This window comes from Homo sapiens, chromosome 8 (assembly GCF_000001405.40).
Source record: "Homo sapiens chromosome 8, GRCh38.p14 Primary Assembly".
In the NCBI taxonomy this organism is placed as follows: domain Eukaryota; kingdom Metazoa; phylum Chordata; class Mammalia; order Primates; family Hominidae; genus Homo; species Homo sapiens.
The window spans coordinates 14,003,685-14,021,584 of NC_000008.11; the positions used below are offsets into that span (position 1 = coordinate 14,003,685).

The following is a 17,900-nucleotide window of genomic DNA, read 5'->3' on the forward strand; positions in this document are numbered from 1 at the left end:
GCATGGGCAAAGACTTCATGACTAAAACACCAAAAGGAAGGGCAACAAATGTCAAAATAGACAAATGGGATCTAATTAAACTAAAAAAACTTCTGCACAGCCAAAGAAACTATCATCAGAGTAAACAGGCAGCCTACAGAGTGGGAGAAAATTTTTGCAATCTATCAATCTGACACAGGGCTAATATCCAGAATCTACAAGGAACTTAAACAAAGTTACAAGAAAATAACAAACAACCACGTCAAAAAGTGGGCAAAGGATATGAACAGACACTTCTCAAAGGAAGACATTTATGCGGTCAACAAACACAGGAAAAAAGTCTCATCATCTCTGGCCATTAGAGAAATGCAAATCAAAACCACAATGTGATAGCATCTCACACCAGTTAGAATGGCGGTCATTAAAAAGTCAGGAAACAGATGTGGAGAGGATGTGAAGAAATAGGAACACTTTTACACTGTTGGAGGGAGTGTAAATTAGTTCAACCATCGTGGAAGACAGTGTAGCAATTCCTCAAGGATCTTGAACCAGAAACACCATTTGACCCAGCAATCCCGTTACTGTGTATATACCAAAAGGACTATAAATCATTCTACTATAAAGACACGTGTACGTGTATGTTTATGGCAGCACTGTTCACAATAGCAAAGACTTGAAACCAACCCAAATGACCATCAATTATAGACTGGATAAGGAAAATATGGCACATATACACCATGGAATACTATGCAGCCATAAAAAAAGAGATGAGTTCATGTCCTTTGCAGGGACATGGATGAAGTTGGAAACCATCATTCTCAGCAAACTAACACAGGAACAGAAAACCGAACACCGCATGTTCTCACTCATAAGTGAGAATTGAACAATGAGAACATATGGACAGAGGGAGGGGAACATCACACACTAGGGCTTGTCAGAGGCTAAGGCCTAGGGGAGGGATAGTGTTAAGAGAATTACACAATATAGATGATGGGTTGATGGGTGCAGCAAACCACCATGGAACATGTATACCTATGTAACAAACCTGCACATTCTGCACATGTATCCCAGAACTTAAAGTATAATAATAAAAAAATACAGAAAAAAATAGTCAATGCAACAACTTGGATTTTGTTTCCTGTTTAGAAGGTTTTTTTTTTCCTTTGTACTGAGAAAATTGAAGAAGTATTGGCTTATAGTCTAAACCTAGAAAAGACTACACTTCACCTGAAAAACTGCCAGCCAAGGCCTTCATATCTAGTGATTTGACTATGGTTCAATTATTAACACAGAAAGGAAGAAACTAACAAAATCCAGTGTCTTAATAAAGCAATACATCACTGTCAAATAGCATATGGAGAACCACACCAATAAGGCCACTAAAATTAGAACAAATGGAAATCTATTAAAAATTATGTTGCCTAAAACTTGTCATCATTGATTATGTGTGGAGAAGACAACATAGTGTACTAAAAACAGCAAGGATTTTATTTTCAGAAACAAACATAACTTAGGTGTGTCATCCTAAAATATTAAATATTTGTGTTTTCACGCCTTGTGTTATCCTGAAAGACTGAATATTTGTACTGCTACACCTGTCCCGAATTGCCTCCTCTTTGGTCCTCAGGTAACACTTGATTATGCACCCCGCTCTCCCATTGTATTGGTGATGAGAGACAGAGAGCAACACCCCTGCCTCCCTGTTTGATTCCGGGAGGTGCATGTAACCAAAGCAGCATCAATTAGTACTTTCTGGGATTATTATATAGCCTTGGAGGAAAGAGAAGTTGCCTCCCTGCTTCTAAGCTAGAAGGATTCAATGCTGGTAGTAATTTTGTCTCCCTGAGGAATAAGCCAAGCAGCAGCAAGCACATATGAGTGCCAGAGAGAAACTGTAAAGCTCTAACTCATGCCGTGCGTCCATGAATCCAGCCATGGAAGAAATCAAGCCAAGCTGTAAAAAAGCACAACTGAGAGAGAGAGAGAGAGAGAGAGAGAGAAAGAACCACAGTAAACCCATTCATGGAAGATTAACTGCTAAGTGTGGGATTTTGATAACACTATTCAGTAGGTCACACAGTGGGGCCAGGATTGCTCTGGACTTTGCCACTTGTTCGGGTTTAATTATAATGTGTTGCATTCACCCTCAAACGTGGCCTGCTTTGGACAATAATTTATCTCTACTTATAGCTCAGCAACTGTGTTTTACTCAAACTAAATATATTATTTACATCTTCTTCTGCATCTGTTGGCAATAGGCTTGGAAAAAAAAGATAACAAAGAAAATTTTAAGCAAACTCATAGACAAGATTAAGTGGTGTGAATCTATAGATTTCCATTAGTATTATGTCTGTCCAAGAGTAGAGTAGGAGCAAACCTGTATAAATTAAGTGGAGATATTATTTTAGGTTTTACACTTTTTGAAGCAGAATTAGCAGAGATGGAATATACCTGGCACCTCCCTGACGAGAAGATACATTGTGTCTACACAGCCTTATGTGAAAACCATCATGTTTTATGAGATGTAAGAGGTGCAGTAAGGAATTATTTTTGGTAACATATGTTAATTTTTCCAAACACTTCATCACCGTACATTATTATGTTTAAACAATACCACCCATATTCATACTCTGGCAAGTTTTCTAGAGTAGAAAGGCATGACCAAAGGCACCCAGCTAGTACACACTTCCTGAATGCCTATAGAAGTGGCCATGTACCATATGGAAGACTTTTTTTAAACAAGTATTTGTGAATAATTACCTTAAAAATCAACTTTGCTCATTAAAAATGCACATTTTTACTTCTCTGTTAGCAGCACAGGTCTATAAAATTCTTTTTGGACTTGAAGCATGGTAGGCAGCAGACAATTTTATGTAAATGGCATGGTTGCATAGGTCTTAGATTCTGTGAGGAGAGAGAATACATACTTTCAGTCTGATCCTTCAGGAGATGACCCAAACAGACAAGGAAACCAGTGGTGTAGGTGCACCCACTCACTTCAAGGCCTTTGCAGAATGTCAATGAACAGCTCTGCTGCAGTTTCTGTGTGGTGAAGAGTCCATTTCAAATGATACCTACTTCAGAACAGATTGCCACTTACGAATTCCGAGTATTCGGTATCCAGTTATAAAACTAGATGACTGAAAGACCTCACGGTATGATTAGCCAATTTTCTTTCAATAGACATGAACTATGTGAATTTTCATTTCTTCCTTAGCTTTTCATTAAAATGCACAAGTTAAACAGTGGTCCCATTTTAAACAAAACCTTCCGTGGCATATCTTCATCTCAAGTGAAGCTTAAAAATTGAAATACGAAAGCTATGTTTGGGACCTTGCTTGCCAAACACTTTGGTCTCTGGTTTTCTAGTTCAAACAGATGGAGAAGACCCTGGCACACATTTGGCTTTTGATTATTTCAGCTCTGCTTGCATCAGTGTGTGATGGGGAAGGGCACGACTCACAGGGCAATAAATATGAGTCATTATACCCATTCTGGTCATATAAAAGTCAATGCCAGTCTGTATCCAGAGGGACAAATCATGTGCCCCTAATTTCCTGTTACCCATATCACTATGTTATTGCTTTTGTCCTGACACAGTTATTCAGCTATTTCGACGGCTGGCAATGAGATAAGTTAGCTATGAAGTGAACATATTTAATTACTTTTCTTCTATCATTGGAAAAACTGATTTTCATCGGGGGAAATTAGACTTTCAAGAGCAATAAATGAGGAAGGAAAGGACTGGCCTTTGTCGGAGTTTTCCCAAATAAACATGAAAAATTGTCCTGGCTGTTAGGTGAATTTTGAATATTAAATGAGTGGAAGTGAGATCATTATCTTTTAATAAAAGAAATTGGTATTTGTGTGTGTTTGACAGATGGTGTGTTGAATTGGCACCACCCAAGTGAGGCTGTCGTATACCTGGGTAGAGGAATGAACAATACATCGCAGGTTGTGACAGGCTTATTCCTACGCTTCATTTAATATGGAACCCGCAACACTGATTTCAGTGCAAAGAACTCCCTTTCCTTGGTCTCTGGGAAGAAGTCACTGCAAAATCTATGTAATTTGCTCTTCATTTCTCATATCCCAATGAATTCTCAAATCAGTAATGTGTGATGATATGTCTAGATATCTTGTGCTGCCATATTGCCCATCTCAAAATGATTTGGCAAGCTGAGAAAACAATTAAACCAAATAGATAAATCTATCATTGTAATGAAAAATATTAATTACAAGCAAATGAGAGCCAAATATATTTCAATCAGTGTTTGCCTTGCCATGTACTGAGATACGGATGACGAGAAATAGGTCGACTGTCTCTGCACTCCGTTTCTTCTGGGATGACTCCCATGTTAATAACATACTCCCACGTTAATAACATATTTCCACATTAATAACAGTGTCCCTGTCATATCTCCCTCATGGATAAATTATCCAAACCTCTGCAAAGGGGTACAATCAAGACGTCTTCATAGCTAAGCTCAACTCGATGATGCCTGGTAATGGAGTATCTGGGAAATACTTTAAATCTTGTAAATGGATTTCTCCTGGACAAGAAATATATGTTCTGTGTTTTCGCCCTTTCTCTTTGCAGAACTGTGCTTCGGGTAGAGAAGGACTATGAAGGGAGTGGGTATAGCCTAACATTGTGACATATGTGTTTCCATTAACTCTGTTAGCTTCCTTCATCTCTCATTCATTACTTCCTAGGGAGGAAAAGTTTCAAATTCTAATCAATGGCTTTAAAGAGAAGATCCTATCAAACATAGAAAATATTTTATTCTTCCCTTTGTCCTGAGAGTGAGCTGTCCCTGGAAAGCATGCGTTGTGCTGGGCTTCTTCTGGAGCTGCTGGAAGAAAGTGTAGAGTGGCGAATTCTGGTGCAGTGTTGGCTGCCTAGGTCTTGGTATATGGTATTAGGAAGCCTAGCTCAGCTCCCTGAGAACTTATGCTCTATTCTTCAATATCTGCTTTATCATTAATTAAGGTGAAACTTTGGCTCTTACGTGCTTACACTTTTATTTGTGAATTGGTTTAGAAGTTGGATAGAAATTTGGGCTATTCTTCACTGGGTGTTAATGCTGAATAAAGACTATTCTGTACGCCCTGAATTATTTTCCTTTGGAGAGTAGACAAACCATGTAGTGTCCCTTGCTAGAATAATAGACACAGATCTCACAGTATTAGGCTGACTGGAGGCAAACTTGACTTGTCCTAAGTTGAAGTCTCTGAAAATCTATGTATAAATAGGCAGCTGCTTTTGCTGATTCCACCTGTGACTCAGCCCTCTACAGAGCAAACAAATTAGTTTCCATAGACTCTAACCCCAGTTTTGAGTTGCCTTAGGGAAGAGAAGCCAATGGTTGGTCAAACATAGAAACCTCATTGGATAGGTCAGATTTCAAGCAGGAAAAGATTTGCTTTACTTCCAAATGTCCAAGCCTATACTTTCTGCAGTATATTTTCAAGATAGGTAGCTATATTATCAGTGAAGAGTCTATGAGGGGATCATCTTTTGCAAATTTACTACAATTTTATTCTATGCTACACCTACACAAAAACACCTCCACCTAGCTCTTCTGTTCCAGTCTCAACAAGTGACATGCTGTTCCTTCAGAATCAACATTTATGAAACATATACCTAGTCATTGTCATGTAGTTATAAATTTGACATATATATGTCAAACATCATCTATTAAGTTCTGTTGAGTCTCTAGAAAAGAAGATACTCTTCCACAGAAATCAAATATTGGTGGCTTTGGACTCCTGTGATGTTTGGTGTTTTTTAGGTTCTGAAGCTCCATCCTTGTATCACTTGAGTCACCACAATTCAAAATCGTTTTCCATTATCACTGACATGGCAGGTTACTTTCTGAATGGGAATAGCTTCAGGTTATAAAGGCTTTCAATTGAAAGTCAACCAAAACAGCCATATCCTTAGAAGAAATAGACTCCAAAGCTGTGGACTTAGATCGATGGGTCTCATTGTGTCCCCCAAAATTCATGTGTTGAAGCTTAATAGCCACTGTGATAGTACTAGCAGATGAAGCTTTTGGAGGTGATTATGTCATGAGCTGGAGCATGCATGAATGAGTTTACTGACCTTAAAAAGGAGGCTGAAGGGAATGAGCTAGATTCTTTGTACCCTTCCACTTTCTGCCCTGTGAGGACGCAGTATCAAAGTGTCATCTTAGAAGCAGAGACAAGGCCCTCACCAGACTCCAAATCTACTGGTGCCTTGATCTTGAACTTCCACCTTCCAGATCTGTGAGAAATAAACTTCTATTCTTTACAAATTACCAAGTCTCAGGTATTTTGTTAGAGGAGCACAAATGGACTAAGATGCCTTCTTCTTGCATATGGAAAGTATACTAATTTTTAAAGAGGCTAGATTTCCATGAAGGCTGGAACAAAAATTCTAGTTTATAATACCTTCATGAGGGAATTTTGGTAAATTTTCATAAGGCTGAGGAAAGGTAATTTTCTACTTAAATATATCTTCATGTTAGTTCTTTAACATGGCCGTAAATTTCTGATAATCATAATAGCACTTACCTGCTTGACCTGCGCTCTGCTCCTTGTGATTTTGGTTTTAGTACATTGGTAACAATATTGTGCACTGCAGCTTTATGTTGAAGTTTAGGTCACAAATTCAGTAAAATAGCTTTCAAACTGTAATCTACGTAAAAACTGGGGGCTTTCTAGTGCCTAATATCTGCTTAGACAGATACACAAAGAATCCTAGATTTGCAGTCAGTAGAGTATTACTCTGTTGTCACGCTGCTAATAAAGACATATACAAGACTGGGTAATTCATAAAAGAGGTTTAACGGACTCACAGTTCCACATGGGTAGGGAGACCTCACAATCATGGCAGAAGGCAAAGGAGAAGCAAATGCACATGGTGGCAGGCAAGAGAGCTTGTGCCGCAAAACTCTCTTTGATAAAGCCATCAGATCTTGTGAGACTTATTCACTATCACAAGAACAGTATGGGGGAAACCACCTCTATGATTCCATTATCTCCACCTGGCCCTGGCTTTGATGCATGATGATTATTACAATTCAAGGTGAGATCTGAGTGGGGACACAGCCAAACCGTATCAAGTAGTGATTTACAATAAACGTATTTGTTATTTTAATGTCTCCCGGAGTGTCGTGGGGAATCCAAAATGTGTGGTACAGAAGACGGTTTTCAAGAGCCTTTCTCTATACTCTCACTTCTTATTCTCTGATGTCTCATGTCTCCCCTAGGGCCTCTCGCATTTTCATCCCCAGATTGTCATTTATGGTGATGATGATCATCATGACAGTGAAAACAATGCAAATGTATAAGGAAATGAGATTTGTATGGTTAAGTGCTTTACATGCATTAAGTTATTTAATTCTCAACACAAATAGGTTCTGACCCTGTTCCCGTCTTTCTTTCCCCTCTCTGCTGCTCTCCCAAGTCTCTCTCAAATTACAAATTTTAAATAGCCTGATTTGGCCTCTCTGGCTTTTTTTCATCCCTTCTCTTTTTAATTGTTTTTCATATTCTTTATCACAGGAGAGCAAAACAGAGCTTTTAAGAACTGAATTCTATAATAGAATAAAGTGACTGAAGGGAAAGGTAAGGATTCACAGTGGATTGGGAGCTTGCAGACATTAGAAGATTTTGTCTCTTATAAACATAGGCTTTTAATAGTTGTGCTTTATCTGCCTAATGTACACAAAATTTGGTTGTACTTTTAAAATAAGTATATCAATTTTCAATAAGTATATGCAGTCATAAGTGCTTTTAGATGTGATATAAAAATCACTTATCAAATTAGTTTTTAAATATGTTGACATAATGAATGCTTAGGACTGAAACATCAGAAAATGTCATGATGACCTATGCAAAATATTGTATTTATGCAATATACTTATTTGAAGTGGACATATACATGTGATATATAAATGTATTTACCAAACGATTTTCTGTTTCTTACTGATTTTTCATGTAAAATTTAATTGGCATTCCTGAAAAAGACAAATGCATTTAATTGGGCGAATAAAATAGAAAGTACATTTTATTTATAACCTAAAGTAAATGTTAATGAAAAAGCTGCTGTTGTTTGGCACGTATACAATTTTGAGATTTTTAACTAGATCTTTAGTACAACATTGGTCAAGTTGTTATTTATTTATTTATTTATTTATTTATTTTTTTAATTATACTTTAAGTTTTAGGGTACATGTGCACATTGTGCGGGTTAGTTACGTATGTATACATGTGCCATGCTGGTGCACTGCACCCACTAACTTGTCATCTAGCGTTAGGTATATCTCCCAATGCTATCCCTCCCCCCTCCCCCCACCCCACAACAGGCCCCAGTGTGTGATGTTCCCCTTCCTGTGTCCATGTGATCTCATTGTTCAATTCCCACCTATGAGTGAGAATATGCGGTGTTTGGTTTTTTGTTCTTGCAATAGTTTACTGAGAATGAAGTTGTTTTTGAAACCCAATGAATATTGACTTTTAGTTTTGATGACAATATAGTGCTGAAATCCCAGAGACTCACAAGGGAATATAACAGAAGTTAAATTCTGGGCTTTCATTACTGACTTTGCTCTATACTGTTAGGCTTGTGTCAGAGAAAACAAGGATTTTTCAGTACATCCAGAGTTGAATTTATGAGCTCACATTGACTTTGTCCTGCAATAAGTGAGATCATATTTGGCCAGGTGTATGCCATCGATGGCTTCATCAGTCAGAAAGTGATTACATTTTCTGTTTCAACATTAAGGTTGTCTGAGATAATGTAACATTCTAAAGCACTCTGCATTGTTTCCAAGGATTGGAAGATGTCTTCCAACAGCCTAGTTAATACTGTTTTGTACCTCTCAACCCTTTGAAGCTCTAGAAAGTTTTGCAAATCTGTCTCCTCTAGTTTCTTCTTCCAAAATGGCAAATTTTCCACACTCACATTTTTTTGTGCAGCATAATTGGTGTCTTTCTGTGGCCTTGAACCAAGAGATCCCCCCCACCACCACTTAGGAGGTCACATATATTCATCAGGTTTGATGAATCATTTGTAAGCCTTTCCCTGCAAAATTTTCCATCAGTCATCTTTTCTTTTGCAAGAAGAATAAGGTTTATTTTCAGATTTAGCAATGAGTGGCTCAAAGAGTGTTGTCTGAAAAGTCAGTATTTTCTGTGCATTAGCAGAGAATGCTGTATTTAGCACATACTTTCTGAGAAAACCTCTGAAAATGATGGCAATCAAAGGTCAGTCAGATGAATTGAAAACTTGCCTGCCAGAAAAAATATATTTTGGGAATTTTTAAGAATTAAAACAAAATGTCAGTGCATACAGGTGTGGTGGTGTGGAACAGAACCCTCCAATATCTCTGAGGTATGCTTGGACTAAAATCCAGATTTTTTTTCTCTTCGCCTCTTGCTTAATACAATTTCACACTGCCCAGCTACAGATGTTCTAATTTTTCTGTCAGTGTCAAAACAATACTATATGAAAGTATATTCTAAGTCAATATTTGTATCTTAATTAAAAAAGAGGAACATAATATATCAAACCTTACCTTATTTTTACAACAACAAAACCCATAGGGAAAGAAGAACTGAAGATAATTTTTTTTTGGCAAAGTGTAAGAAGGCAGAACAGTCACTTAATGATAATTTTTGTACATTTCATGCACAAAGGTTTTAATTTTATAGTTCATACTCTGACAAAAAGCTCTTTAACTCAATAATGATTCTGTCTCCAAAAAGTCTGCCATCTCAGCAATAACTACTTTTTTAAAATAGTTATAACCTGTGCTCTAATACAGTTACTACTTAATAATGGCAGCATATGTATCAAACCAACAACCAGCAAAAGGAGAATGAAAATTATATGTTTCAAAAGAAATGTGTTTTGTTAATAAATTATGATTATAAAAAATTATAGTCAATAATTTTAATCAAAATCAGTTATGAAATGTGATGTTTTTTCCATCATAAATACAGAAAAGTGATGGTTTTGATATCCCAAACATAATACCTTGTACAAATGCTGCTTTGCAATTTCATTGTGACTTCTTCCTGCTTACTACTACTACTAATAGTAACATCTCCTGTTTGTTGAACACCTTCTAAATGCTAAGTACTGTGATTAATGCTTCAAGCTGCATTCTGTATCAGAACACTTGACTTTATCTGGCTATGCCTCAGTTACATATTCAAAATTGCCTTTTCATCATTCTCTCTAATCCTTCTTCTAGAACCTCTGTTAGCTGGATTTTAAAGTTCTGCCTCTGTCTTCTAAATCTTTTAATATTTCTTTAATACTTCCCATAACCTGATGTACTGAATCCTGAGGATATTCCTTGACTTGATATTCTAACTAACTAATTCCCCCTTTAACCATATCTGTTTGGTTAATCTTCCCATCTATTGCATTTTTATAACATTTAAGTTTTTAATGTCCATTATCTCTAGATTTTTTGTCATATGCATACAAAATCCTGTCATATCTTTTAAATACAGGAATATCCACTAGTACCAATTCCTACTTGTTAAATTAACTCTATTTCTATATATATTTTTGACTTCTGTCTTTATCTTACATGATAGAAAGCAGATCTCGAGATCAACCAAAAATAGTCTTCATAGAGATGGAAGCAGGAGAGTCACATTAAGTAAATCACCATTAATTATAGATGTATAATGAAGTTATAAATGATGGAAAAGAGAATCAGAAATGAAAGAATGAGGAAGAAAGAGGATGAGGGTGAGAAGAAGAAATAATAATCTGTACTATAAATAAACTCAGTGATCTTTTGGAGCACAGGCAACCAGCCAGCAAGAGGCCCCTTATTATGTAATATTTCATAGGAGAGAAATATAATTGACTATATTTTGAGGGTTTTTTTTTTTCGTTTTTATTGTTGTTATAGCAGCTTAGTTTGGATTCTATCTAATTGAGTTATAGAGACAGGCTAGTGACCCAGATGGCTGAAAATGTCCAAGTCAAGAAATATAATAAATATTCATGGTCAAAATTCTTCTCCTGGCCACACCTACCTTTAAGAAAATCTGGTAAATCTAATTTATAACTGGGAAGCCATTATAAACTTGATACATTACTTTAGTAAAGGAAAATGATGAGAATAAAACATAGAAGACTATTAGCTCACTCTACTTTATTGATCCGTGTTCTCACTTATTCTGCTACCTGTAGCTGCTACCAGACCTATGCTGGGAACTGAAAAAAGATACTTAGTCTTTAGACTTGGCCACTTTTCAGTACACTCATGTTTTAGTTTTGGAGTGATCCTGTGCATACTCTTTCTTAACAGTCCACTCTTTTCATTTATTATTTTGATTTCTTTTAAAAAATTTTATGTATTTTGTCAATTCTTAAAAGTTTTGTTGGGATATCAAGCCTATAACTTGCCCTCACTCCACATTTTTGAAGAGTTATTCAATATAATAAACTGTCTTTGAAAATATATTTATGATAGGTGGGCAGGTAACTAATACTTGTTAGTATCTACCTTGACTTAGTCACTCTACTCAGCTATCTCTCTCTCTCTCTCTCTCTCTATATATATATATATATATACACACACACACACACACACACATTATATATGCTTGTGGATATATATATAAAAAAATAAAAATGACCATATATTTATGTATAAATACATATGTAGTTACCATACATATTGAAAATGTAATCATTACTACAACTATTTACAGTATTTTCATTCTCATTTCACAAATATATTCTTCTAAAAGGCAAACATTTATTATTTATTTTGAGGGGAACATAAAACAAATTTCAATAAATTTTACTTTTTATTTATATCTGTTTTATTTTAAGTTCAGGGGAGCATGTGAAGATTTGTTATATAGGTTAAACTTGTGTCATGAGGCTTTGTTGTACAGATTATTTCATTCAGTCAGGTATTAAGCCCTGTACTGATGAGTTATTTTTCACAATCCTCTCTTTCCTCCCACCCTCCAATCTCCTATAGGCCCCAGTGTGTGTTGCTACCCTCTATATGTCCATGTGTTCTCATCGTTTAGCTCCCACTTATAAGTGAGAACATATACTGTTTGATTTTCTGTTCCTGATTTAGTTTGCTAAGGATAATGGCCTCCAGATCCATTTGTGTCCCTGCAAAAGACATAATCTCATTCTTTTTTATGGCTGCGTAGTATTCCACAGTGCACATGTACACATTTTCTTTATCCAGTCTATCATTGATAGGTATTTGTGTTTATTCCATGTCTTTGCTATTATGAATAGTGTTGTAATATACATGTGTGTGCATATGTCTTTATAATAGAACAATTTACATTCGTTTGGGTATATGTTCAGTAATAGGATTGCAGGGTTGAATGTAATTTCTGTGTTTAGGAGTTTGAGGAATTGCCACACTGTCTGCCACGACAGCTGAACTAATTTACAGTCCATCCAATGAGTATAAGCATTCATTTTCTCTACGACAATGCCAGCATCTGTTATTTCTTGTCATTTTAATAATAGCCATTGTGACTCATGTGAGATAGTATCTCATCGTGGTTTTGATTTGCATTTCTCTAATGATCAGTGTTGTTGAACTTTTTTCATATGATTGTTGGCCATATGTATGTCTTCTTTTGTAAAGTGTTTGCCCATTTTTTTATGGAGTGCTTTGTATTTTTCTACTTGTAAATTTAAGTTTCTTACAGATACTGAATATTTAGATCAAGATAAAGATTGATTAACCACCTGCTATATTCCAGGAACTATGCAATGAATAGGTATTACATACTAGTTGCCTGGATATAGGTAACATAAAATTTGCAGTGGTGAATCAGTTGAGATCTAGAAGAATAGACAAATGACTAAGGACTCACAGAAAGTAATGCAATCCTATATACAAAGCCAAGAAGTTTCCATCATGAAAGTAAGTGATATAGCTTTAATACTCCTTTCCTCGTTTTGGCTTTTCTCTACTTAATCGGCTTTTTGTCTCAGCGGCCAAAGAAATATCCCTAACATGTTTGCCTTGCCCAAGCACTCTTTGTTTTGTTACTATCATCTCATTTTTTCAGGTCTTAATTAATATACCAATGATGGCTTATTTTTCCCCTCAATATAAATTTAGCCAGTATTTACCCTTTGTAGTATCCTATATTTTGTTCTTTAGTAGTTAACATGTTTTTTTAATTATGCACCTGATTTATCGTGACTGACTTTGTTTTATCCTCCTGTAGAATTTCATGAAGACTAAAACAATATCTGTTAGTTTGTTATGTCTAATTCAGTGTATACCAAATGTCTAGTGGAGCATGTGGCTGTCATTTACCTGGAATGTGTTTGTTGAATAAAAGCGGATGTGGACATTTAATCACTGGTAGAGTGCATGACCAATGAAGTCAGATACAAGGGTTTCCCTGTCATGTCATGCACTGAACCTTTAATCTTGGCTGTTGAAATGGGTCGGGGGAGTTTGAGAGGTCCACAGAGACTGGCCAGTGCTGCTGAGGCAGCATGGATGTGGGGCTCAGGTGGCTAGTTATTTAACCAGTACAGAAGTGATTCCATATTTTTAACAACCAACAGAGCCACCACTACACAATCTGAGCATCAGCATAAAGAGGTGGATCAAACAGAGCTACATTTCATCTTAATTTCTTACTTCATAATTTATAACTCCAAAGCTCTTTAAAATTTGAACAGATTCAGTCATATGGTTTTATCTCATGCCATGCCCAAATAATCCTGATAACAATGTACAAGAATCAAATCCATTTGAATTGGGATTCAACTTTATAACTTCAAAGGTGATCTTAATTCCTTACCTACCTGCTGCTGATTTAATTCTAGTGAAGATATCATATGAATGCAAATAACTCACTGTTGTTTCAAAAAATAGTTGGTGTAAATGTTTTATATTTTAAATTTCTCTATGGGGTAATTTTTTTCTGTTGTGTTGAACTATTTCAAAAGTTCATATCATTTTCAAAATATGATTCAAGTGAAATTTGCTAAAACACTTTATGGTGATTGTAACCTCCTTCCTATGCAAGACACCAGCTGTGGCCTCACTTTTAGACTATTCATATAGCAAGCAAAGCCAAGAGTTATGTTTTGAGCTAAGAACCTAGACACACATCAAAATTAGAGAAGGTAGAATTCTAGAAAACTTTCATAGAATTAAAACTCTGCTACATATGTTTTTCCCAGAAGTTTTGGATTTTTTTAACATTTAATAATTTTAAATAAATTATTTAATCTGACCATTAAAGCTTTGAAAATTTTAAGTGCTGTTCATTTCTACACAGTTGCAACTTCTGTGTCATGGCATCTGCCTCTCTTTGAAATCTGATGAAAGAAATGGCTTTCTAGTGTGACCATACACCACTATCTTTTTGCAAATTTTTTTTAATCGTCATGAAAGTATCATGCAATCTTTGTGTATGTGTCCCCTACCTAATATGCTTTGCTTGGAATTTTTGTTCTTCAGGAACTTGTTTATATTTTTCTTGTTAAACATTTTTCTGATTCCCCAACACGGAATTAGTCATGCATCTTCAGAGCTCCAGCATTACTTTGAACAGATTTTTATTTTGGTATTTTGAAGATGTATTGTTTGTATAAGGTATATTGCTTTATATTTGTTTCTTTTCTTCTAACACCATGAAATTCTTGAGGGTAAGGTCCACTGTTTTATCATCTACACAATCTAATATAGTACCTAAAATTTAGTCTTAAGAAATTTTTAAAATAATGAAATAATCTTCCCTTGGATGTATCTTGACTTTTTTCTTATTGTTTCCTGTTTACCATTAGTGCCTTTTTAACTCTTCTGTAATTTATTTTTCTTCTTAGTTTTATAGCTCCCTTCCTCCTAGCTGTTGGACATAGAAGTAAAATGTAATTCAAGAAATAGCCTGGTTATTAAAATATATTGTCATAAACTTTTCACCTGGCACATTTGCTCTGTTTACCTTTATGCAAAACATGATGCATTATGTATAATGCTTTCTCCAGCTCGTCTATTAAAGGCAATTAAAGCAAAAGTAGGAATAATATTCTGCAGCTGCTTTTACCCCTAGGACCTTCTAGAAAAGGAACAAGATGGGCTTTGGTATTTATGAAATTTGTTGTTTGTTAGGGCTCTTAACTGAGGCTAACACAACCTTTCACATAATCTTAATTAGATTTGATGTTTTATTTGTCTTCATTAGGAGGCAGATTAATTTTTAATTAAAAAAGAAAAGATTACTGCATCACTGGATTATTAAAAAACAACTTTCCATTTCTTAATTCTATAAGCAAGACATAATTATAAATGACTAATGAATGTCTCAGGGCAATAATCTAATCCATTAAATTACCCACTTCTAATGGGACAAAGTAAAATATTCAAATAGTACTAATTGGAATATTTTTGAATATTACTTCCATGAATAATTTGAGTTAAAAACTAAAACTCTTAAAAGAGTTCTTGCCAGCATGAGAAACCTAGATTTCATTTTAGTACCTTGTAAAACAGCTGGGTTTAGATCACAACATACTTAGTGGTAGCCTAAATTTTATTTGGTATTTATTGTTTTCTTCTTTTATTTTTACTTCAGAGTATAACAGAAAAATATTCTTATGGGATAAGTTAAAATACAAAAACAAGACAAAGGAAGCAAAAACACAATTAAAACATTCCAATGTAGACACATAGATGCATAAGATAATACTGCATTATAAGTAAATTGTAAAATGGTGTATTGAAGACAAAAAATAAGCAAGGCATTCTTTAAAAAAGAGAATTTATTGATTGAAGAGTTGCCCGTGGCAAGAAGAGGAAGTTAGATGCTATAATCCCAAACTGTTGCTTTCCTTACTGCTGTTTTCACATGATGGGAGAAGTTCAACAGTAGTTAGTAGAAAATAAATGAGTAAAACAGTAAAGGCCTAAAAGCCTGAAGTTTCTTGCTATCTAAATGTGAAGTACATAAACAGCTTGATATTCTTGGAATCTTTGCCTTCTTGGGAAAATCGTTGTCTATCACTTGCCATTGAAATTAACTTTAAAAGCCCAATCCACCCGGGGCAGCTCCCCACGTTGATAATGGAAGGGAATTGAAAAAGGTATGCTGGTAAGGAATTGATTCTAATGCTGGAAATTTAGACCATCCTCAGATATTCACTTCTCTATCATAATTTCCCCTCTAAATTCACAGGGTTGTTGGATAGCAATCCAAATCAAATGCCTCCTCCAAAAATTTATACTTCCTAAAGCATAAAAAATAAAATTTTGACCGTATTAGTTGCTTGGCAACCTTGATCAACTGCAGTTCTGTGACTCCTTTGCCTCTTTGACCTACTCATCTCTTTCTCTTTCATTGAACTTATCGGGACTCACACATTAGCTTCTGGTTTGGAGCTATTCTTCAGTATGTAGAAGTTTCTAAAAGCAAACAGAAAATCACTTTTACTATAATGAAATCAAATTTAAGTCTGTTAAAATTGCAGCACTGGAATAAAATAAATATTATATTTGGAGTAGAAAAAGAGAAAAAAACAAATTGAACTTAAATTTTTTTTCCTCCAAAGTGACCAATATTATTTTATTTTAGCATCATTATAAACTTGTGCATTTAGACATTTTTGATAAGTTTCCATCTATTATCTCTTCATGTATGGCGGGTAAAAGATTCTTCATGTAGGCTCCTGGGTCCTGTTGATAACTAAGTCATCTTTGGTAATTTCTTTGATTTTTGTTATGACAAGATGATCATGGCTAATCTTACATAAACATTTCTTCTCCTGGACCTGAAATCGGCCATTTCTCCAATGGGCAGTTTTAGTGGAAAATAGTATTAAGAAGTCATAATCCAGGTCTTTTTAGTAGACAAAGCTAGGAAATGTTTGTTTTTTTGAGAAAATACATTGTGAGTTCATTCTGATGTTTACATTTTCTCTTATGCTGAAAAACTGTAACTACATTAACATAACTACTTATTTACTCTATAATATTTTCAGAATAACATTAGAAATATTATTAACATTGTGATTACTGAAAACAGTACATGATTTTTTTTGCAATTTTTTTTTTTTTTGCCCTTAGAATCATTACAGTGTTTTATAGTCATTTGGAGTAATTTTTCTCTGTGAGGCTATGTTGCTAACTCAAAACAAAGTTAGATGCATTTGTTTCATTGTGCTTTTACTAAGCTTGTCTTTTTGGAAAATTTCATTTAGTTTTGTTGGCAGATGGTTCCAAAGTGGAAAAAAATATAAGATCTATTTAGATGAGTGTAGCTTTTAACCTTGTCTTTTCCCATCCCCAGTTAAAAAAAAAAAACGATTCTGGTTTATCATTGTAGTTTTTAAGTAAGCCAACATAAAGCATAGTAATCACTTTCCCTGATCCTTTCTTTGATAGTAACATACTATAAAGTTTTCTCTCTTTTCTTTTTTAGACCTATGAATATATGTATCACTCCATAGCAGCATGTGAAGATATTTAAGCTTTTTAAAATTTGTATTTCCATTTGCCTGGTACACCTTTGTTCATCCATTTACTTAAGTTTCAATGAGGTACAATTTATATACCTCATAAAGGTACCATATACCTCATGAGGTACCATAAAATTTGCTCATTTGAAGTGTACAGTTCAATGACTGTTAGTAAATTTACAGAGCTATGTAGACATCACCACAGTCCAATTTTACATTTCCATCACCCAAAAAGATCCCTTGCACCCATCCATCCTTTTATTTTAAAGCTTTCTCAGTCTCTTTCTTTTAGATGTACCTCTCACATTCTGCACAATGTTGTCATTTACTTCCCAAAAATATTTTAATAGGTGAATTATATCCATTTGTATTTAATAATACAACTGATGTTTGGCCTTAGCTCTGCCACTGTTTTATGACCTATTTGTTTTTATGT

The 17,900-nt window shown here is 35.0% G+C and overlaps 2 annotated features.

Annotated features, from left to right (window-relative positions):
* Window positions 5,714–5,883: an enhancer, noted in NCBI's record as "experimental_101599 CRE fragment used in MPRA reporter constructs". NCBI's record gives its function as "activates a minimal promoter by MPRAs in K562 erythroleukemia cells, with activity observed for the introgressed 8:13866992 variant allele {active_cell/tissue: K562}" and the evidence as "EXISTENCE:reporter gene assay evidence [ECO:0000049][PMID:34662402]".
* Window positions 13,138–13,307: an enhancer, noted in NCBI's record as "experimental_101611 CRE fragment used in MPRA reporter constructs". NCBI's record gives its function as "activates a minimal promoter by MPRAs in K562 erythroleukemia cells, with activity observed for both the introgressed and non-introgressed 8:13874416 variant alleles {active_cell/tissue: K562}" and the evidence as "EXISTENCE:reporter gene assay evidence [ECO:0000049][PMID:34662402]".